Source organism: Homo sapiens, chromosome 6 (assembly GCF_000001405.40).
Source record: "Homo sapiens chromosome 6, GRCh38.p14 Primary Assembly".
NCBI lineage: Eukaryota > Metazoa > Chordata > Mammalia > Primates > Hominidae > Homo > Homo sapiens.
Window position 1 is genome coordinate 152,801,059 of NC_000006.12, and position 24,943 is coordinate 152,826,001.

The following is a 24,943-nucleotide window of genomic DNA, read 5'->3' on the forward strand; positions in this document are numbered from 1 at the left end:
GCTTTTATAAAATTCAAGGCTTTGCAGTAACAAAAAACTGAGTGAAATAATATTATGGAAAATATATAATGTAAAATTATATTACATATAATTAGAACAATTTCATTTCACAGAAAAAATATTAATGCTAGTATAAGCACCTTAATAAGGTTGTACTCAAATAGTTTGCCCTTTTTTTCATGTTAATTTCTGTTGATAAAATATTGATGCCTAATACTTTCATCTATTATGAGTCAGGAATTTTTCTAAGGCCTTTCCATGCATTTAATTTTTACATCTCATTTAATCTTCATAATAATTCCCTAATGAAAGTGACAAAATATGTCCATTTTACAGATGAATTCAAAGAAGATCAGGCACAAAGAACTAACTTGTTCAACTAGCTAATTTAGAATTTAATCCAGGTAGTCTATCACCAGAATCCATTCTTTTAATCATAATACTGTGCTAACTCTGATGTTTACATTGGTTTATAAATGTATTCTTTTTGTCAAATTAGTTAGAAAAAAATAACACTAATTTATTTAAGCTATAATTTGACAATGTTTTTAAAAGTGTTAATATGTCATGGTAATGATATCAACACACACACAAGCAATGCACTGATTTCAACTGTGTAAAACCCCACCTGACTCTATTTATATTAATTACTGGTTGAAATAAAAAATCTAGGAAGGAGAACAGGGTCACCCTGATAGAATTAAATTAATATTTTCATTTAAATCCATTTAATATTATTATCATATTGTGTGAAATAGAAAAACAAAAAATAAAATAAACAAAACAAAAACTTGCCTATTGTGAGGTCTATTTCCATGAAGATTTATAGGGAAAAGATTTGAAGAAGCCAATTTTTTTCTGAGGACCAGAAAATCAAGATCCAGTTTCAATAATGATAGCAATATTCAGTGAATTATAGATTACCAAATTCAATATCATATAAGTTTGATTCTAATGAGGTAAAACAAGGAATATTTTCTCTACAATTTACGTATAAATAAAGCTATTATTGCCCACTCATCTGAGAATTTTTTTTTACTTTTCCTTTTAATAAATTTTTTTGGGGGATTCAGTGGGTATATGTGCAGGGTTGTTACATGGGTATATTATGTGATGCTGAGGTTTGGGATACAGATGGTCCCATCAACCAGGTGGTAAGCGTAGTACCCAATACGTAGTTTTTCAGCCCATACACCCCTGTCTAGCAGTCCCAGGTGCCTACTGTTCTCATCTTTATGTTTATGTGTATTCAATGTTTAGCTCCCACTAATAAATGAGAACATGTGGTATTTGGTTTTCTGTTCTTGTGTTAATTTGCTTAGGATAATGGCCTCCAGCTGCATCCATGTTGCTGCAAAGGACGTGATTTTCTTCTTTTTATGGCTGCATAGTATTGTATGGTGTACAATTTCTTTATCCAATTCACTATTGTTGGGCATCTAGGTTGATTCCATATCTTTGCTATTATGAGCAGTGTTGTAATGAATATGTGATTGCATGTGTCTTTTTGATAGAATGAATTATTTTCCTTTGGGTATATACCCAGTAGTGGCACTGCTGGGTTGAATGGTAGTTCTGCTTTAAGTTCTTTGAGAAATCTCCAAACTGCTTATACAGTGGCTGAACTAGTTTGCATTCCTATCAAAAGCATTTCTTTTCTATGCAGCTTTGTCAGCATCTGTTTGTTTGTTTTTTTTTTTGACTTTTTAGTAATAGCCATTCTGACTGGTGTGAGATAGCATCTCTTTGTGGTTCTCATTTACATTTCTCTGATAATTAGTTATGTTGAGCATTTTTTCATATGTTTATTGGTTGCTTGTAGGTCTTCTTTTGAGAAGTATCTGTTCATGTCCTTTGCCTATTTTTAAATTGGATTATTGTTTTGCTTGTTGATTTGTTTAAGTTTCTTGTAGATTCTAGATTCTGGATATTAGATCTTTGTCAAATGTATAGTTTGCAAATATTTCCTCCCATTCTGTAGGCTGTCTGTTCATTCTGTTGGTAATTTTTTTTTTTTTTTTTTTGCTATGCAGAACTCTTTAGTCTAATTAGGTGCCACTTGTCAATTTTTGTTTTTGTTGCACTTGCTTTTGGGGACTTAGTCATATATTTTTTGCCAAAGCCCATGACAAGAAGGATATTTCCTAGGTTGTCTTCCAGAATTTTTATAGGTTGAGGTCTTACATTTAAATCCTTAATCCATTTTAAGATTTGTATATGGTGAGGGTAGGGGTCAGGTTCTTTCTGCATATGGCTACCCAGTTATCCCAGCACTATTTATTGAAAGCGAGTCCTTTCTCTATTGCTTATTTTTGTCGATTTTGTTGAAGATCAGATGATTTTGCATGTGCGGGTTTATTTCTTGGTCTTATTCTGTTCCATTGGTCTATGTGTCTGTTTTTGAACCAGTGTCATGCTGTTTTGATTACTGTAGCCTTAGAGTATAGTTTGAAGTCAGGTAATGTGATGCCTCTAGTTTGTTCTTCTTTCTTAGGATTGCTTTGTCTATTCAGGCATTTTTTGGGGTTTCATATTAATTTTAGGATAGATTTTGTTTAATTCTGTAAACATTGGGGTTGGTAATTTAATCTGTAGATTGCTTTGGGCAATATAGCCATTTTAAGATACTGATTCTTTAAATCCATGAGTATGGAATTTTTTCCATTTGTTTGTGTCATCTCTGATTTATTTCAGCAGTGTTGTGTAGTTATCCTTATGGAGACCTTTAACCTCCTTGGTTAGATGTATTTCTATGTATGTGTGTGGAGTCGGAGAGATGGGGGTGTGTGGGGGTTGGGTGTGTGGCTATTGTAAATGGGATTGTGTTCTTGATTTGTCTTTAAGCTAGAACATTATTAGTGTACAGAAATGCTACTGATTTTTGTACGTTGGTTTTATATCCTGAAACTTTACTGAAGTCATTTGTCGGTTCCAAGGTCCCTTAGGCAGAGTCTTCAGGGTCTTCTAGGTAATAGAATTATATTGTCAGCAAAGAGAGATGGTTTAACTTCATCTTTTCCTATTTGGATGTCTTTTATTTCATTATCTTGCCTGATTGCTCTGGTTAGGATTTCTCAATAACACTTGAAATTATCTTTTAAGCCTTAGTAGAGTTTTATTTAAAAAAGAATTTTACTTTACTATTTTCTAACCTCTTTAGGTTAAATTGAACATATTTACAAATGAAAGTACTCTAAATTTTTAGTGTTTATAAAGTATTACATCTTCATTTGCTAGTAGAATCTCAAGATTCTCTTCTGAATGAGTGTACTCACCATTGTCTAAATACTTTTTAATGCTTATGTTGCATAATTTCCCTGATGAGAATTGATATGGTTTGGCTGTGTCCCCACCCAAATCTCCTCTTGAATTCCCACATGTTGTGGGAGACACCCAGTAGGAGGTGATTGAATCATGGGGGCAGGTTTTCCCATGCTGTTCTCATGATAGTGAATAAGTCTCATGAGATCTGATGTTTTTTAAAAATGGGAGTTTCCCTGCACAAGGTTCTCTCTCTTTGCCTGCAAACATCCACTTAAGATGTGACTTGCTCCTCCTTGCCTTCCACCATGATTGTGAGGCCTTCCCAGCCATGTGGAACTGTAAGTGCAATTGAACCTTTTTTTTTTTGTAAATTGCCCAGTCTCGGGTATGTCTTTATCAGCAGTGTGAAAATGGACTAATACAAAAATTATATAAGTTATTTAATATAGATAAACTTCTAGTGAGCAGCTTCTTTTGACTGTGTACATCCTGCTTGATTCACAGGGGGCAATAACAATTCTGGCTCCTTTCCAACATTTGAGCTCCTGGACCTACATGAAAGGTGTGGGAATTGGAGAAACAGTTACAGGCCACACTAAGATCTCTGAAATCCAGACACTTCACTATAGCAGAAATGTTTGCTGTGAGTCTGAACAGTAAGGACATAAAACTGAAAGTTCTACCTGATGAAGTACAGAATGTTTTGTTGTTTATTTCTTTGAGTAATTCAGCTCTTTCTAAACTGAAGAGTGAAGGAATACTTAGTAAAATCACATCAGAGGAGAAGACCACTGTTTTATGTGTTTCTAAAAAAAAAAAAAAGAAAAGCAATTAGTGTTGTCCTTGAATTAGTTTATCAATCATGCGTATTAAAAAAAAAAATAAGAGCCTCAATCAGAAGCTAACTTTGCCCTTGCACAGAGCACTACGAAAAACCAGATTTTAATTTATTAGAGGAAAACATTATTCTTCAATTTATCATGCAAATTCAAAATTTCATTATAACCAAGAGAAAACAGAGTTTCTGAATGATCTTAGAGCTGCTGTCAGTGAATTCAATCTATGAAATTGATAATAAAGATTTTTTGTTTCATTTTTAACTTTTTATGAATAAAAAGCTTAAGTCACAACCATGAATACTGAATCAACACATAATACATTTCCCTAGATTTTTTTCCAAGCATTTAGAAAGCTTCAAGGCTTTGATTATTTCATTTGAAACCTGGAAGTACCTATTGAATAATCAAATTTTTAAAATTTGGCATTCCTTTTGCTGTCATCTGGCTTTTATAGTTTCTGTTAAGAAATCACCCATCAGCCTGGTTGTTATTCCCTTGAAAGTAATCTATTCCTTCTCTTTGTCAGATAATTGTTTGTTTGTTTTTCTGCTTCATATTTCTTTTTCTATTTTAAAGATATATAAAGATTTTGTATATAAAAAATCTAGGGAAATGTATTATGTGTTGATTCAGTATTCATGGTTGTGACTTAAGCTTTTTATTCATAAAAAGTTAAAATTGAAAGAAAAATCTTTATATTAACTGTTTATAGTTCAGGAGACCAAGAATCTTAAATCATGTGTCTATTTCTAGCAGCTTAGTACACATTTCACTAACTCTTTCCCTGAAAGAAATAAAGAAAAAAACTAAAATTATTGGATAAAATATTTAAAATTTTTTGAATACATTAATGAGCTGATAAAAGAGTGAGAAATCTCTGATGTGAAGTACTTTAAAACATTCACTTGAAAATCACATTCAGTGGAAAGTTTTGATAAATTCATAGCAATCTATGCACCCAAACTGGGAGCTTCATCTCCTGAATGACTAGATGGAATGTAAACTCCATTTTCTGTTACCATATAGTTCTTCAGTTATTCGTTTGATGGCTTTAACAAAATAACAAGGGAGCCACACACATCGATTTTCTTTTTTGTATTGTAAATCCTCAGGGCAGGTCGGTGGGCAGTTCTCAGAACTGTTTGCAGGTAGCTCTTTTCATTTTGCAACTTGATTGTGCGATTCAACTGTTCTGTTAAACTCATACAGAGAGGGCTACAGGAGTAAGGATAGTATTTGATTAAAATCCTATCTAATATTTATTAATTATGTGATCTTTGCAATTATTTTGAATCCAATTTCCTCTACTGTAAAATTATGATAACTCCTTCGTCGTGGTATTGTTTTAAGGATCAAACAATATATGGTTTGGAAAGCACCATGCCTACTGCATGGTAAAAATATTTAACAGATGTTAATTTGTCACTGTCATATGGAATCTAAGATGATTTTCAAAATAGAGCTCAATGATGTAAAAATTATTCTTTTTCCTTTGTATTAATAGAAAAAATCCTATTTTATGTTTGCTAAAAAATATTAAAATATATTACATTAAAAAGGAACTCTTGAAAGTACAATTCAGACTTCAGGAAGGAGTATTTCTTATAATGTCAAAAAGTTGTATTTTATCTATTCCCCACTCACTCTGAGTAAAGTAATCAGACTCTATTATGAGAGAGAATAAAAAAATCGGGGTGTGCAGGAAAAAGAATAAAATGAGTAAAAGTTTTGAGACCATCTTGTTAATAAACTCCATTGGAATACAAGTAGTAATATGCAAACAGAAAATGAAATATGAGCTACAATTGCAAATAATAACCATTTACATATTTTGCAGAGTTTTCTATAATATTCTATTATCATAGACTAGCATTAAGATCAAGACCTTGAAAAATACCAGGAAAAAAAAACACTAAATAAACTATAGATTGGTTAAAAAAATCATAATTCAGAAAACAGAGGATTAATAGTTAAAGTATAAGTTTTAAGAGATGAAAAACTTAGACTAGAAAGAAGTAACCAAAAGTTGGAGAAATGCCAATTAAATTAGCAAGATATGCTTTCTACCAATCAGACTATTTAAAAATACTTTAAAAATTTGTATTGCTGACAGAGATCAGGTGAAGATTATTATAATACATTGCCGTTACAGGATATGTAGCAGCTTTGGGTGCAGAAATATATAACCTATTAAGTTAAAAATCATTTGTCTTTTAATCTGAAAACCCCACTTCTAGAAATATATTCCATAGGAGTCAAAGTACCAGGATACAACATTGCTCACAGTGATAAAGCACTTCAACAACGGAATGACTGAACAAATTATGGCATAAGCATGCAGTGAAACATCATGCATACATTATACCATGTATTCATTAATAAGAACAAATCATTTCACTTGGATAGCTTTCCACAAAGAGTTGTTGAATATGAAAAGATGCAGATGGGGATGTAAAATCTTATTCTGTTTTAGAAAAGAAAACATGGAGAAAGTATAGACTGCTATATACTAGGATGTCACATGAGTTACCAGTGGAGGGGAGTGTGAAGAGGGTGGCTCCGGAAAGAAGAGGCAGCAAGCCAAACAAAAATGGAGACAAGAAATAGACTGCTACGCTAATTTCTATAAATGTTTGTAAGCACTTTTATCTAAAGTTAGATGCATGTGTCTGTAATAAAAATTTTAAAATTAATCAGAAACAGCTCTCTAACCCCAAAGTATCTCCAGTCCCCGAATTTGGAAGTCTTATGTGGTTTAGCTGCTGAACAGCAACTCCTTCCTCCATTTTCATTTCCAGTTTAAAACATGGAGAAATCGTTGGTGAGATGTAGTGATAGGAGGTAAATAAGTGTGCTCCTCAGTTCTAAATTCAAAGGATATATTTGCCAACTTCTTCATCTATCAGAATGATTTTATTAATTTACACTTCACTTCAAACATACCACGAAGAATCTGACTGACCCTGACAAATCTAGGGGGTTGGAAGGGAGTGCATTTTGTTATTAATGGACTCAAAGAAGAATATTTGTAAGCAAGGGTCCACGTTCCCTTTTTCTCTTAAAATTAGTACTAGTTTTCCATGAAATATGAACAAAACAGAAACAATAATTGAGATTCATGAAAAAATTCTGGGGATAAAAAAACAAAAGAAAGAAGAAAAATCCTAGAGCTAATACTCACCCTAGAATGTCCAATATATGAGGGGCAATATTTTTTTTTTTTTTTTTTTTTTTTTTTTTTGAGATGGAGTCTTGCTCTGTCCCCCAGGCTGGAGTGCTGTGGCGCGATCACAGCTCACTGCAAGCTCCGCCTCCCGGGTTCACGCCATTCTCCTGCCTCAGCCTCTCGAGTAGCTCCCGCCACCATGCCGGGCTAATTTTTTGTATTTTTTTTTAGTAGAGACGGGGTTTCACCGTGTTAGCCAAGATGGTCTCGATCTCCTGACCTCGTGATCTGCCCGCCTCGGCCTCCCAAAGTGTTGGGATTACAGGCGTGAGCCACCGCGCCCGGCGAGAGGCAGTATTTTAAGGCAAAAATGTTATTTATTTTCAGGGAGATAAAACAAAGCATCACAGCTATGAGAATTAATTTTTAAAATGAACCGGTAAAGATTTCTATGGAAAGCAGATGTAAAAGAATCAATTCTTTCAAAGTGAAGGTAAATGATGGAAGGTGGAGCTAATAATAAATAGGGAAAAAAATAACAATGAAGAGAATGAGACAAAAATGTCAGGTGTGGAATAAAAACAAGAAAGAAAACATTCAATAATAGAAATTACTAAGGAACAAAACGGAGAAGGAAAAAGTTTTATAGTAAAAGTCATGAGGCAAACTAAAAAACCAATATCATTGGATATTCAAAGTGCTTTTGATATCCGAGCAAAATTCATAGGAAGTCAGCACTTCATAGTTTGGTGCAATTCTTTAAAGGTTAAAAAAAGTCTTCAAGCTTTTATATAAAGAAAACTTAGTTTCAGGGCATTAAAATCAGGACTCCTTTCAACCTCATCACAAATAGAGTATCAATCAATGGCCTGGTCTCTGAAAGGAAAAAGATCTCAACCAAGACACTCAGGAAATGTGTCATTTGTGTGTGAAAACAATAGGAAGACATTCTTCGAACTACGGACTCCCACTTTCCCACCTAGAAATTCTTTCTGCAAAATACACAACAGGATATAAACCAGAACTCCAAAAGACTGAATTACATGTAAGCTCTCCAATTGGATTATGCATTGGAAAAAAAACAAACAAAAACGTTTGATGGCCATTAAAACCATGTTCCCATTACAGAGCAGTCACTAAAGTGTATGATTATTGTTTGATAATAGTAAGTAAGGGTCTAACAAGGGAAGACGTGCTGTAAGTCTAAATAACTGGAGTAAATTTTAGAAAAAAAAGTAGAACAAACATTTTAAATAATAAAATAAAAGTTTATTTAAAGGTTAAAAAATGGGATTTCAGATTCCAAAATTTAGATAATGAGCTAGGAGAAGCCACATGGCTTTGAGGTTACACCCTGCTTTCCTTAGAAGATAATTGAGAGTAACAACAAAAATAAATAAATAATAACAACATTAGAAAAGCTAAAGGGAGTTTGAGATAATCATTATGAAAGCAAAACAATAAAAACAGCATAATTAATGATTCAAAATTACTGAGGTAGATTAAAAGAAGCACAAAATAAATTTAATTATTGACACTAATATGATATTTATTTTTAAAACTATGGAAATAAGGAAAAATGTTTACAATGCTATATTAATACAATTTGAAGCAAAAGGAACAAATTGATAAATTGTACATATATGTCTGTGGACAAACCAGCACAAAAATAGAAATAAACATACTATAATGTAACATTATGGGTAATTGCTTTATTTACTCATACGGCTTAAAAAACTTTTAAAAATAAATAAGAACAACTCTCTTAATTTCATTGTTAAATTACATTAAGGCAAGATTAAACATTTTAAAAATATGCCAAATTCAATTTTAAGACGCAGCATATATTGCCACTTTTAACAGGTAGTAATTTAACTGCAGAGAAAGACTTTCGTTTCTTTCTTATTATAAAAAAAAAGTAAAGAATTATTCACCATTGTCTTATCATTACTTTAGAAGACAAGCTATTTGGTGAATCTGTACAATCTATGTATTAAGTAAAGATATTTTTGCGCTTGGGTAAATAGGTCCCTCAAAGCTGGCAGGGCCTCTAACTAAATATACACCATGTGCAGGTTATTGAAGTAAAAACGGAAGGTCTGTGTGTGACATTTGCAGATACTAAAAATGATGCTTAAATACAAACATGATTTTCCCATTGGAGAACGACGGCTTGCCACTAAGATAAGAATACTGCTTTCAGAATTTCCTTCTGAACTTTCTAGGCAAGCCTCTCTAGTATGCATTCTCCAAAATCAGATATATTACTGAACTATCATATAGTCCAAGACTGTAAATCTTTGGTTCATACAATGTCAGGGATCATGGAGAAATTTAACATTTAGGAAAAAAAAGTTATCTGTGGATATTGAAGAAGACTTTATAATCATATTACTCTTTCATTTTATTCATGATTCTAATTTCAAAAATTAATCTTGCTTCCCCCTCTACCTTTCCTGTACATCCTCCATATCAACTAGATTGCCCTTGTTTTAATTTTTCACTTTTTTAAAGAGCAGTTTTAGGTTTACAGCAAAATTGGGAGGAAGGTACAGAGATTTCCCATATATCTTCTGCCCTGACATGTGTACAGCCTCCCCAGTTATCAGTATCCCCAACAGAGTGGTACATTGTTACAACTGATGAACCTACATTGACATACCACAGTCACCGAAACTTCATGGTTTACATTACGGCTCCCTCTTGGTTTTATACCATCTATGGGTTTGTACAAATACATAATGACATGTCTCCACCATTATAGTGTACACACAGAGTATATACACTGCCCTAAAAATCCTGTGTTCTGTCTACTCATCTCTCTCTCCCCTCCAACCCCTGACAACCATTGGTCTTTTTACTGTCTTCATAGTTTTGCCTTTTCCAGAATGTCATATAGCCTTTTGATGTTGACTTCTTTCACTGAGTAATATACATTTACATTTCTTCTATGTCTTTTCATAGCTCTTTTTTTTTTGTCACTGAACATTTCTTTGCCTGGATGTACCACAGTTTATTCATCCATTCACCTACTGAGGAACATCTCGGTTGCTTCCAGATTTGGGCAGTTGTAAATAAGGCTGCTATAAGGATCCATATGAAGATTTTTGTGTGGGTATAAGTTTTCAACATTTTGGGTAAATATCAAAGAATGTGTTGGCTAGATCCTATGGTAAGAGTATGTTTCGTTTTGTGAGAAAACACCAAACTGTCTTTTAAAGTTGCTGTGCCACTTTGCATTCCTACCAGCAACGAGTGGGAGTTCTTGCTGCTTCACATCTTCCCCAGCATTAGGTGTTGTCAGTGTACTGGATTTCGGCCACACAAACAGGTGTCTCATTATTGTTTCAGTTTTTGTTTTCCTAATGACATAATGTGGAGCATCTCTTCACATGCTTGTTTGTCATTTATACAACTTGTTTCACGAAGTGTCTGTTAAGTTATTTGGCTTATTTTTAAATCTGGTTTCCTTCCTTCCTCCTTCTCTCCTTTTCTTTGTCTCTCTCTTTCTTTCTTTCTCTTTCCTTCCTTCCTTCCTCCCTCCCTCGCTCCCTCCTTCCTCCCTTCCTTCCTTTCTTCCTTCCTTCCTCCTCCTCCTTTTCTTTCTTTCTTTCCTTCCTTCCTTTCTCCTCCTCTTCTTTCTCTTTCCTTCCTTCCTTCCTCCTCTTCTTTCTCTTTCCTTCCTTCCTTTCTCCTCCTCCTTCCTTCTCTTTCCTTCCTTCCTTCCTCCCTCCTTCCCTCCTTTTCTTTCTTTCTTCCTTCCTTCTTCTCCTCCTCCTTTTCTTTCTTTCTTTCCTCCTTCCTTCCTTCCTTTCCTTTCCTTTCTTTCCTTCCTTCCTTCCTTCTTGATAGGATCTCACTTGTTACCCAGGATGAAACGCAGTGGCAGTCACTGTGGCCTTAAACTCCTGCGCTTAGATGATTCTCCCACCTCAGCCTCCCGAATAGCTGGGGCTACAGGTGCACCACCATGCTCAGCTAATTTTTTGTAGAGACAGGGTTTCATCATGTTGCCCTAGTTGGTCTCAAACTCCCAGGCTCAAGTCATCTGCCCATCTCAGCCTCCCAAAGTGTTAGGATTACAGACATAAGCTACCACACCCAGACTTGTATTCTTACTGTTGAGTTTTAAGAGTTCTTTGTAAACTTGGATAACAGACCTTTACAAGATGTGTCTTTTGTAAATATCCTATCCCAGTCTGTGGGTTGTCTGCTCATTCTCTTGATATTGTCTCTCACAGTGTGGAAGTTTTTAATTTTAATGAAGTCCAGCTTATCATTTTTTATCATAAATCATGCCTTTGGAGTTGTATCTAATAAATTACTACCATATCCAAAGTCATCTAAATTTTCTCCTATAGTATCTTCTAAAAGTTTCTAGTTTTGCATTTTACATTTAGGTCTATGATTCATTTTAAGTTGGTTTTCAGGAAGGATGTAAGGTCTATGTGTAAATTCATGACTATTCTTCTTTAGCCTATTGATGTGATTGATTACATTAATTGATTTCTTTATTGTTGAACTAGCCTTGCATATCTGTGATAAATGCCAGTTGGTCATGGTGTATAATTATTTTTATACATTGTTGTATTTGAATTGCTAACATTTTGTTGAGATTTTTTGCATCAATGTTCATGAGAGATATTGGTCTGTAGTTTTCCTTTTTTGCAATGTTTTTGTCTAGTTTCAGTATTAGGGTAAGCTGGCCTCATAGAATGAGTTAGGAAGTATGCCCTCTGCTTTTATCTTCTAAGAGAGATCTTACAGGAGTCCTCTAATTCCTTCCTTAAATGTTTAGTAGAATTCATCCCAGTGAACCCATGAAGGCCCAAGACTTTATGTTTTGTAAGGTTATTAATTATTTATTCAATTTCTACAATAGACATAGATCTATTCAGATTGTCTATTTCTCCTTTTACAAATATTGGCAGATGGCATCTTTCATAAAATTGATTCACTACAATCAACCAATAATCAAATCTGTGGGCAAACAGTTGTGCATAAAATTCCTTTATGACCCTTTAATGTCCAGGACATTTTTATTTTGTACCCTCAGTCAAAACTGTAGAACATACATATGATCTTTGTACTTGTTGAAAAATATTTGTTGCCTTTCTTTTCAAAAAACTACCTAAAATAAGTAAGAGTTCTTATTCTTCACTTAAACAAATGGAACACTTTATTATTGTGTGTGCATTTAGTTGGCTGTTATTTCCACTTAAATTTCTCATTTTTTATTTCAGTGGTATTAATCAAAAGCATTGTGCCATGTGGCTGTATATTCTCTTGGATAAGCAAAAGGATGCTGGACTTGTACAATATGTGCCTGTGATCACATATATTCTTAAATAAATGTGAAGGGCATGGCTTTGTAAAGAGGCTTTGAATTTCTTGACTTCAAGTTTCACTTCTAATCATTAAATCAATTGGAATTTTCTTTATGGTCATTTTAAAGACTATTATAAGCTGTTACTATTTACCAGCTTTTCAGAATTAAAGAACTTGAAGTTTTTCCTTTTATCTTTGAAAGGAGGCAAGCATCTCTATTGTCACAATCAGCCTCCACACAGCATGATGGGGATGGCCATGTTTTTCTCCCTAGGAGTATTGCATTGTCACTTGAGCTGTTCAAGATTTGGGATGTGATATTTTTAATCTGAACTTCCAAGAACCCATAAATATAATTAAATGATTCTGATGAAGCCAGTCCCAAATATCTGGGCCATGACATTTACTTCATCATTTAATTGGGCAGAGAAACAAACATTAATAGAATAAATTGGAAATCTTAATCATACAAACATGCAGATATGGAGAAAATCTTCACATTCCCTTGCACAGCTCATCCTCGTTGTTGCCTCTGTCTTCTTTCCCTCTGTTATTATTCTACCGCTAACCTGAAAATATCTTCTTACATTCTTTCCATTATTCAAATGCATCCATCGTGCAAAATAATAATTTATTCATTCATTTTCTGAGCTCAGTAACCTACAAGGGAATGCTTAATTGTTGGCTATATCTTTTTTCTCTAGTAATTTCATACATGCCTCTGTTTCTAAATCATTGTTATGCTTCTGAAGAATAAGGATCATAAAATGGTGGTACACAACCCTTAAAGATGTAAGAAATTTGAGCAATATTTAGACATGATACAAGGATCATTTTCAATATGGAGAAACTGAGCCCCAGAAGATTTAAATTCATTCAATCATGTATTTGGTAAGTGAGCATTCACATTGTGGCTGGTACTGTGTTGAATGCCGTGTATACAATGCAGACCAAAAAATAACAGAGTTTCTGTTCTCATGGACTTCAGTCTGAAGGAGGGATTCAGCCACTAATCAAATAGACACTTAAGAGGTAAAATTTTAAATTGTGATCAGCATTTTCGGAAAGCATCTATAGTGATACAAGAGAATTTACTAGGGGAAATGGACCATTCCTTAGGTTCTACCATCAGCTAGAACAGAGTATAAATTGGAACCCAGATTTTCTTCTTCACAAATAATCCCTTAGATCGTTGACCACATAGTTTACATTAGATGAATTCTTCCCAATCAGTTGATTCACTATCGTTCAGGTGATCTGCAGTTGCAGATAAGCGTGGTATACAAATTTGAGTACTGAGGCCATTTATCTCTTTAGCCGTGGTTTCATATAGCTGATTTTCTGCTCTCTTAGGAACCAGTTCTGAGAAAAATATATAGGAGTTGTTATTTACACTGAATTTTGCCAGCATGAGGTAGGCCAACCAATCAGACCTATAGCTTCTGTGTTCTCTGACTAGGCTCCCACCAAAACATGTTTAACCATCACCTAGTACTTGAAATTCGAATTCAGCATAACAGCTACATGACTACCTGGTGTATTTTTGTACTTCTCTGGCATTGAGAAGAGCTCCCTTAAGGCCACACATTCCATATTCAGATAGATCTTTTAGAGTTGTAAAGATGTTTGTTTAATATAATGCGTTAAAGTGTAGCTACCTTCCAAGAGTTAGAACTCAGTATTAGCACCATATTCTCATCCAGCCACTGAGATATGTGACAAGTGAAAAGTGGTGTAAGATATATATGCACACATATATTCCTGGTGGAGACAGGCTATGACAACTTTCTGACTTTAATCTTGCAAATGATGGAGTACTTGACAATGCTGAATCACAGAAAAAAATCCAAAGCTTGCTCTGTGTATTAAAACATCCATTTAAAAATATTTAGAAAGAGCCACCAAGCACTTGTGAGCATATGTGCATATGCCCGCAGTTCCCTTTGCTCTGGAAAATATTCAAGTGGAAAGCTACTGCTCTGTTTCATAAGTAACAGCAATTTGTGACAAGCATGGAATATGCTGGGCATCATCAACTGCATTGTTATCAGCTGCAGTACAATTTAATTAGCGAGCCTGAGTTTGATTATCTGCCAGTGCATGCTACCTTAACTGCTCTGTTCCAGTTTGAGGACTAAATTTTGTCTGATCATGTTAACATATTTGAGAGCATACCTCAACATTCTCAAGTGTTTTGTTCGTCATATTATGCTCCCGCATCAACAAAATTGTATTAAAAGCCTTGACGTCAGCTCAAAATATTCTGAAGTGAATCAAAAGCTTATTATTTCTAGACGTAAGAATAACTTGACTTCATGTTAGATATGATTTCCTCATTTATAGTGCTGCTTAAATCAGATGAATGTAAAAGGATATACTGGTCACTATAATTTCAAGATTTTTTTAGATTTAGGTGTGTTTGTGTTCATGTTTCAGAATGAGTGTAGTTCCAGCTTCAGATAAGGAAAGGAAGTTTAGGGTGACAGGAAGAGAACACAGTAGCCAGAAAGCCAGATGACAAATAATAAGATTGTCCAGGCAAGGTATCAGAATCAAGGCAGTCCAGGAAAGGGCTAACAGGGCATCTCCCAGAGCAAACGCAGATGAAAACAGATGTCACATCAGCAAGCACTGGTCAGAGTCGTTTGTGTCTGGACTTCAGATGCTAGAAACAGCAAACTAGAGGGCTTTGGCCTTTTCAGTTTGGCTCTTGACAAAGACATTTTCCATTTGTAGACGCTGTCAAACACTCATTCTTTTCATCTGTGCACTCTCACATGTAAAATTAATGGCAACAATTAGAAGCGAATGACCGGACCTAACACATAAAATATCGACTTAAAGAAAACATATAGGAGGAGCTGGCTGAAGAAAATATGAGAAGGTTTAACATATGGTATTTAATTTTTTCTAACATTGCACAAATGCAATATTTTCTTTAAAATGTTTCATATAAATCTTGGCAGAATTTATATTGTTAATTGACTTCTGTCTTTTTAGATAACTTAAGTGCTTGTATATTACCCCCGGCCAATTGTAAATGCTTGGAAAGGAAGCCTTATCGTATATGCCTTTGTTTATTTGTGTTTTTTTGAGACGAAGTCTCGCTCTGTCGCCCAGGCTGGAGTGCAGTGGCATCATCTCGGCTCACTGCAAGCTCCGCCTCCCGGGTTCACGCCGTTCTCCTGCCTCAGCCTCCAGAGTAGCTGAGACTACAGATGCCCGCCACCACGCCCGGCTAATTTTTTGTATTTTTTTTTTTTTAGTAGAGACGGGGTTTCACCATGTTGGCCAGGATGGTCTCAATCTCCTGACCTCGTGATCTGCCTGCCTCGGCGTCCCAAAGTGCTGGGATTACAGGCGTGAGCCACTGCGCCCAGCGTATATGCCTTTGTTACAGTGTCTATGTTACCTGGCACTGTGTGAATTATAGGGCATCTGCCCAACCAAGTCTCGATAAATTTAATATTTAGTGTGTATACCATAAACTAAAATCCTAATAAAGTGCTAAGTGCAGTATGAAAGCCTTAAGGGAGGAAAAAAAGCAAAATTCACATTGTGTTAAATCTCGTCTCACGTAAGTGCACCTGGCTTACAGAGTAGATAACTCAATGGGGTCAAAACTGAACATTTTTATTTTTCTCCAATCACTGCCCTTAACAAGACTCTGTCTAGTATTTCTTTCCCATCACATAATGGCATCTTTGAAGCTGTGATCCCAAATTTTATCTAACGCTGTCTTCTTTTCCTATCAAGAAGGAACCTATGTGAGGAAGAGCCAATGTCTGATCTTCCTCTTCTCCTCTCACATCAGGGTCTTTGAGAAGACTGAGGGGGAAGGTAAAAGTATGTGGACTTCTCTTATTTACACACCTTCTTCCCTTTCTCTTCTGGGTCTAGCTTTTCTTGGGGTATGGCAGAGAGAAGAAAAGGGAAACTAAAGAATCTTCAGGTTTTACAGACCTGGCCGTGTATTGGTGGTGGGGAGGCAACTCTGGTGCCATGCAGGCTTCATCTAGAGACCCCAGTCCTACTCCGGCACAAACTCTTCTTTTCTGCTGCTAGTGGTGTCATCACCTTAGATGTTTCCCTGCTGCTGATGTGGATGGCTTCCTTAGGGTGATCTTTAGAACATTCTTAGTGAGACACAGACACATCTCCCTATAACCCACCTATGCCTTAGGCTCATTCATGGGCCTTTATCTTACTTTGTCTACTTATCTCCTGGGTGGGGACCTTGTCTCCTGCCCTCTCCCCTAAACTCATGTTTCTTCACATAAAAACACAGAAATAGGAACTCTTTTACACTGCTGGTGGGAGTGTAAATTAGTTCAACCATTGTGGAAGACAATGTGGCAATTCCTCAAGAATTGCCCGAAATAATATTTGAACCAGAAATAATATTTGACCCAGCAATACCATTACTGGGTATACATCCAAAGGATTATAAATCATTCTACTATAAAGACACATGCACATGTATGTTTATTGCAGCACTGTTCACAATAGGAAAGACTTGGAGTCAACCCAAATGCCCATCAATGATAGACTAAATTAAGAAAATTGTGGCACATATACACCATGGAATACTATGCAGCCATAAAAAAGAATGAGTTCATGACCTTTGTAGGGACATGGATGACGCTGGAAACCATCATTCTCAGCAAACTAACACAGGTACAGAAAACCAAATACCACATGTCCTCACTCATAAGTGGGAGTTGAACAATGAGAACACATGGACACGAGGGTGGGGGTGGCATCACACACCGAGGCCTGTCAGGGAGTGGGGGGCAAGGGGAGAGATAGCATTAGGAGAAACACCTAATGTAGATGACGGGTTGATGGGTGCAGCAAACCACCATGGCACATGTATACCTATGTAACAAACCTGTATGTTCTGCACATGTGTCCCAGAACTTAAAGTATAATAATAATAATAATAAAACAGAACTTTGAAGTTCTCTTCTACAGCTTTGAGAGCTTTGGATAACTGGAATGAAGGCATGGGGTTACCTCCATCTTCTTCCTGGCACAACAGAGCAACTGCCCCTTTTGCCATGCTCTTATGAATGCTTCAGGCAAATGTGATTCCCAGGAATCTTCAGGTGAAAAGCAGACACCAGCCTCTCCTTCATCTATACCTGCAAGCTCCAGAGAGCAGATGGTAAGCTTTCTCCTCCCTTCCCTGGGGCAAGCATTTCATTCTCTTCTGAGGGTGACACTCTTGTGCCTGCAGGTACTACTGCCAGCATGACTGTCCCTGGGACTCTCGCTCATGCAAACCCCATAAATAATCATGAAAAGTCCTAAAAAAACACTCATGCTGATTTTTTTTTACTTCGTAGACAGTTCTTAGAAATGAATAGATCCCCTACCTATCATCATATACTTTTACTCTTAATTTGTGTTTAAAAATAATTAAGTTATAATAAAAAAGGCAAAAATAATCTACTTGAGATTCAGCAAAAAAAAAAAATCATTATAGCAAAGAATTCTTAGTCTTAGATGTCAGAGTGAATTCCTGCATAAAGCTTTATAATCTTCTCACTAAAAGTCATTAACATTCATTATACATAGAAATAGTGAGGAGAATAGTTAAAACAGCTGTGTACATTAATAGATAATTTTAAAAAGTATTCTGGGTAAAGAACATTCTGCACTGTGGCATTGTAGTTAAAAATATGGAACCCTGAGTGAGAAGAATCTGGGTTCAGGTTATGAACTGTGGCCTTGAGCGCATTATGCAACCTCCTGAGCTTCAGTTTCCTCGTCAATAAAATGGGCATAGTGATTCCTAGCCCAGAATTATTGTAGGAATTGAAACAGATAAGGCATGTAGACATGCAAAAAGCCCTTAATAAGTAGTAAACATCACCTTGTACCCCATAAATATATATAAATTGTTCATTAAAAATTAAATAAAATAAGTAGTAATATCTTTATTATTTTGACAAAATATAATCCTCTATTATCCTATGTACTTGATTTGTGGAAAGACACAATTATCCTCTATACGTGATTTGTGGAAAGACAGTCTAAAACCAAGAGAGAGAAATTCTTCTAATAATTCTTTTAAACAAAGTAATTTCATTTTGAAAAAGAATGCCAGTTATTCTTCTGCTTCAAACTTAAGCATTCAGTTATCTTAAGACTTCAGGCTTCAAACTTAAGTATTCAGTTATTTTAAGACTATCCAAGGATATATCAGGATAAATGTACAGAATATCAATATTTCACTGAGATGGTGTGTTTCACTAAGTCATTTGCATTGTATAATGTAAGATATCATCTTCTAGGTGGGAAATGAGAAATACATTCCATAGATGATGAGTTTGGAAACATTTTGACCCGAAAGGAATTAATATGGAAGACAAGTTTTAGAAATGCTGAGGCTCAGACTTTGAAGCCCATGTTCTACCTATCTAGTGTGTGCATGTATGTGATCACATTGCCTCACATAATATAATGCAGAGGTCAAACTGTGTCATTTCTAACATCCCTTCAGCTCTAGCTTTCCACAATTAAGTGAGTGGAATCCTGCTGAATGCAGTTGTTCTATTTTTAAGTTTCATTTTTGTCTGTACTTTTCCTAAAGCAAAGATCACCTCGTCTAAACTTCAAGAATTATAAGATGCTTTTTTCTCAGTCAGAAAACCCCTACCCAAAACTTGAGAATTTTGTGTCCCTATCAGTATTACCTAATTAGTATTTCCTATCTATTCCAATCTAAAAAAAAAACATCATAACAAAAAGAATATTCTATACTCTATATCACTTATTTTTATTTCATAATAAGGCAAAGCTGTTATCATATGTGAAACCCTACTTGTCCCTGAAAATCCTGGTCTTTAATGAAAAGTAAAAATAAATAATAACTTCTTTTGTGGTTATGTTGTGATACTCCTTTTTATCAATTGGTATTACCAAGTTAAGGGATTAATACAATAATTGAGCTCTGTTTTGAATTCAGAATGATCCAACTTACTCAGTGTGAGAAAGAATTTAGAAAAAAAGAAGGTAAATTTAGTTTCACACTAAGGAACTCGTGTTAATATTAGCCCTATTAATAATGATAAACATAATGGTTAATACTTGTTGGGTTGGGCACTGCTGTGCAAAAGGCAGTGTTCTGGGCATTTTGCATACACTGATTCGGTCTATCCCTAGAGCATCCCCAGGAGGTAGGTATCAATCGTGTTTCCTCATTATTGTAGTGAGGAAACTGATAAACAGGAATTTTAGCCACTTACTGAGGTTTGCCTAGATTGTGAGTAACACAGACAGTACATTGGAAAAAACAACATTTGTGAAAAATATTTTACCTGTGATTCTGAGCTGCAAATATTTTTAAAATTGTACAATGTACTCTAAAAATTGATGATGATAATTTACTATAGTAATTATATTGTAAAATAGAATGCTCTTAAATGATGTAAAACTAAAAATGTAAAACAACATACAAATGCATTTAAAATGTTAAAAGGAAAGTAAATATATTTATAATAAATAACATTTAGAATGTATATAATTAGTATGTTTAATGAGTACTAAATCTTTCTCTTTACAGAGTTACAGGAAATTCTGGTTTTGAGATTCTGTAATTTGTACAAACTCATTTTATTAAGGAGAGAAAATGGTGTTTAGAAATAGTCACTGAGAAATTGTTCTCTATTTCTACTAAGGAACCACCCTCTTCCTCTAGGCTATAAACTGGATCTTTTCCCTAACCCCCTACTTTTTTAAATAAAGCAGGAAAGTAATGATCTGGGCCACTTTTAAAGCACATTATTATAATATTTGAATTTAAGGTGTATTAAACATTCTGACATTAAGTGTCATCATTCTCATAGTCCCTAGGCCTGGGAACGTAGCCTGGCATGGAGGCACCATGAGGGAAGCAGGTAGCTGCATGATGTTCCCTAGGAGAAAAGAGGTTCAGGAAGCTGAGACAGACACAAGAAAGCTGGGAAAGCATAGCAAGGGGGAGGGAGAGAGAAGAGGTCTGGGTTGAAATCACGGAATGAGCAGGTTAGAAGAAAATGAACCTGCTAAGGAGGTCCAGGAGGAGGAGCCAGAAGCAAGGGAAATGAGAGGAAAATGCAGACACCACTAGAGAGCAGTTTGGTTGACCTGCCAAATGATTCAGAAGACTCGGAAGTGGAAAAATCTTCTTTTCCCATCTGCAGCCTCTCCAGAGAGAGATGATGATGATCCAGGAGCTGAGCTCAACGAAGACAGAAGTACATGCTCCTCTCTCCTCAAAGGGAAACATCAATGAAATTCACCTTGCTGAATGCTCAGACATTAATTTTCAAGGAAGGGTTCCAGCTCAGGATGGGGCTTAGGGTGTGGCCTATGAGGCACTCTCCTGGGGCACAAAATTTTAAAGGGTGCTAGAAATTCCAGTAATCAAGATAAATAATATTTTAATGCAATATTTTTAAAAACTGAAATTAATACAAAAAATCTGGGATGCACAAAATATCAGAAAGTTTAATAAATCCAGGCTGTTTTACCATGTGGCATTGTTGTGCAACAGCAATTGTCTCAGCCCATGTCCAGGGCATCTGAATGTTGACAATGGTGTGAAAACGGATTGGGCAGCACGGATTCATATATAGTCATATTTTTAAAAAATATAGAGCTGTTATTGACTTCTCCACTTGGCCCAAACTATAAGAAGGTATTTTGATATATGTATATGGGGTTCTTTTTTTTCTTTATACTTTAGGCTCTAATGTGGGACTGCTTCTGAAAGCATATATTTGATGAGGCAAAATTAAAAAGGGAAGGCAAGCAGGCTAAATACTTGAAGATGTTAATTTTAAAAATAAGGAGCTGGGCACAGGGACCATTCCCTAAATTGCATTAGAGAATTGTATTGATGGGTTGAACATAGGGGTAAGGGGGAATTTAGAACTAGATGAAACCAATTTGACTTGATCTCTCCATTTTACAAGATAATTTTGTTTGCAGTAAATACTAACAAAGTAGCTAGAGATTTTAGAGAAACCAAGAAGTGGTCTTTAAAGAGGCCACGGAAGAAAAGTTATTGAGTAAAAGTCATTCCCTAGAAAATAACACATTAATTAACATATCCAGGCATAGACACTTGACAGTTTGACAAAGGTGGGCTCGAAAAGAGGAGAAGGCAAATGAATTAAATGACAAATTCTACACGGTTCCTGCAGTGATGCCTTTGCTTAGGCAGTAATACAGATTAGAATTTTAAAATGAAGAAAACGAACTGGACCAGCCTCCCTAAAATTATCAATAATAAATTTATGCTTCATTCAGACTCAATATGACTGAGGTTAGACAGTTCTCCGTTATAAAAGAAAATGTATCTATTAACTTGTTATCTTCAAGAACTGGGATTTTGCATTTTCAATGGTTTTGAGTTAAAAGTTTTTGTAGATTCCTTTTAAACATTTACTGCTTATTTATAAGTATGTTTATCATTTACTTAACCTCAGTTGAAGCATATTCTGCTTACATGTTATTAGATGTCTTGTTATAAATAAATGGATAGTATTTTAAGGTGAAAAATTTCATATATTAATGTTCACTGCTTAAAACTAAAAGGTGAAAGTTAAAATTATTTTATTAAAACATTTATTTTTATGTTTGTATAATTTCATTTTGTTTAAAATGGCCTTCATTAACAGAGAAGGGATCTTGCACTGGCATTTTAAATGTTGGGATCTTTGCTTGTGGCCTTGGTTTCTGAGTGAGAAAAGGAAAGCCAAGTGGTATATAAATAAAATTTAGATAAAATAATCAAAAATTTAAAACTAAAGTATTTGAGTCATTATTCTCAAATTTTTTGGGTTAAACCCAAACATAAATGGACATTCACTGTACAAAACAAAAATGTAATATTTTGTGGAATTTAAAATATATATGTAATTAAAATTCATGACTACTATAAACAAACCAAGATTGCAGGTATAGCCTTCAGAGTAAGCATTAATAAAATATGTGACTAACAAATTAATAAGAAATTAGTGGACAAATAGAACTTTTGATTAATTAAAGAAAAAAGAATGTAGAGAAAGAGGACCATAAACTCAGGGGGTCAAGTGGAAATAACTGGTAAGACAAAAACACAACTATATCAGATATTACAATAAATATAAGTTAAACTAAATAAACCAAATAAGAAATAAAATACATTGAATAAGAAAGAAAGCCCAGCAATACGCAGCATAGAAGAAACACATTTTAAATACAAGAACATATAAAATTAAAAGTAAGAGAACAGAAAATGTTTACTATGAAAAACATTAACAAAAAAAGATCATCTAGCTATGCTAAGATCAGAAAAGTATGCTTTAAGGAAACGAGCTTTATAAAAGTTAAAGAAGGGCATTTCAGAATAATAAAGGGGTCATTGAAACAATAGAGTGACATACTCCTGGGTCTGCATGTACTCAGTGACAAGGTTTCAAAATATATGACAGAAATGGAAGGAAATAAACGTGAAACAGACTTCCAAAAGCTGACAGAATAAAGGGACAAAAAAAATTTAGTAAGGTTTGAAAAGATTTGAATATCATCATTAATTTGACCTAGTTAACATATATAGAATAGTGCACTGAACAACAAGGAAATGAATGACTAAGTGCAATGGATACCAATATTAACTATATGCTGGCCACAAATTAAGTCTTACCAAAGAATTTACTAATTCAGAATATATTCTCTGATTACATCAGAATTAAGACAAAATAATGAGAAGAAAGCTACCAAAATCTCCGCCTGCTTAGAAATCAAGCAATAAATGTCTATTCAATACATAGACCAAAAAAGAAATCAAAACAGACATTAGAAAATATATTTAACTAAATGATAATAAAGGTATAGCATATAAAAATCTCATGAGATACAGCAAAAGAGGTGCTTAAATAAAATTCTATGATCTTATGTTGATCCAAGGGTACCAACTTTCTGTTATAAAAATAAGATCTGGGGATCTAATGTACAGCATGGTGACAATAGTTAATAATATTGTATTGTATACTTGGAATTAGCTAAGAGAGTTTATCTTGAGTTCTCATCAAAAAAACAAAAATTAAAAAGGGAAACTACGTGAGTTGAGGGAAGAATATGTTAATTAACTTCATTGTGGTAATCACTTTACAATATATACCTATATTGAATCTTCATGTTGTACACTTTAAATATACACTTTATTTATTTATTTATTTATTTATTTATTTATTTATTTATTTATTTATTTTCTGTGACAGAATCTTGCTGTTTCACCCAGGCCTGGTCAGGAGTTCGAGACCAACCTGGACAACATAGCTAAATATATACTTTAAATATGTGAATTTTATTTTTCAGTTATTCCTTAACAAGCTGAAATTTTTTATAATTTTAAATGTACATATTAAAAGGGATGAGAAAGATTCATCAGTATTTGCTGCTTCACATTGCACAATTATGTTATGGAGGTGGCTTCTTTCCTTAAACCTCATGTACCCACCTCTGCTGGCTTACAACTTTTTTCTGTGGCTTCCTCACCTCTCTCAGCCTCCATAGAAGTTCTTGCTCTGGATTAGGCTTCAGCTTAAGGGAATGTTGTGGTGGGTTTGACCTTCTAACCAGACCACTAAAACTTTTTCCATATCAGCAATAAGGCTGTTTTGCTTTCTTATCATGCATACGTTCACTGGAGAAGTACTCTGAATTTCCTTCAAGAAAGTTTCCTTTGCATTCAGAAGTTGGCCAACTGTTTTTTTGCAAGAGGTTTAGTTTTTGGCCTATCTTGGTTTTCAACATGCCTTCCTCACTAACCATGTCTAGCCTTTGATTTAAAGTGAAAGACGTGTGACTCTTCCTTTCACTTAGAGGGCATCGTACTCATTTGCCTAAATTCAATACTGTTGTGTCTCAGGGAACAGGGAAGCCTAAGGAGAGGGAGAGAGACAGGGGAATGGCTGGTTGGTGGAGCAGTCAGAACGCACATAACATTGATTAAGTTCACCATCTTACGTGGGCACAGTTCATGGTGCTCCAAAACAATTACCATAGTAACATCAAGGATCACTGACCACAGATCACCATAACAGACGTAATGATAATTTAAAAAGTTTGAAATATTGAAGAAATTGCAAAAAATGTGACACAAAGACACAAAGTGAGCATATGCTGTCGGAAAAATGGCACCAATAGACTTGCTCGAAGCAGGATTGTTGCAAACCTTTAATTTGTGAAAAATGCTGTATCTCTGAAGCACAATAAAGTGAAGCATGGTAAAATAAGGTTTTTCTATATTATATATATATATATGTATACATACAAAAAACTACCAAAAGAGGAGATGGCAAACTATGGC

At 34.7% G+C, this 24,943-nt stretch overlaps 1 long non-coding RNA gene across 8 annotated transcripts in view; it reads right to left on the reverse strand.

The window, feature by feature from the left end:
* LINC02840 (long intergenic non-protein coding RNA 2840) overlaps positions 1-24,943 on the reverse strand; it is a 121,122-nt gene that overhangs the window by 46,183 nt on the left and 49,996 nt on the right. For 2 of the 8 annotated variants that reach the window (NR_183503.1, NR_183511.1), the window contains one exon: positions 17,055-17,741. The exons of the other annotated variants lie outside the window; for them this stretch is intronic. This is a non-coding gene — a long non-coding RNA (long intergenic non-protein coding RNA 2840). Of the gene's footprint in view, positions 1-17,054; positions 17,742-24,943 lie in introns of those variants that run through there. 8 annotated transcript variants of the gene reach the window in all.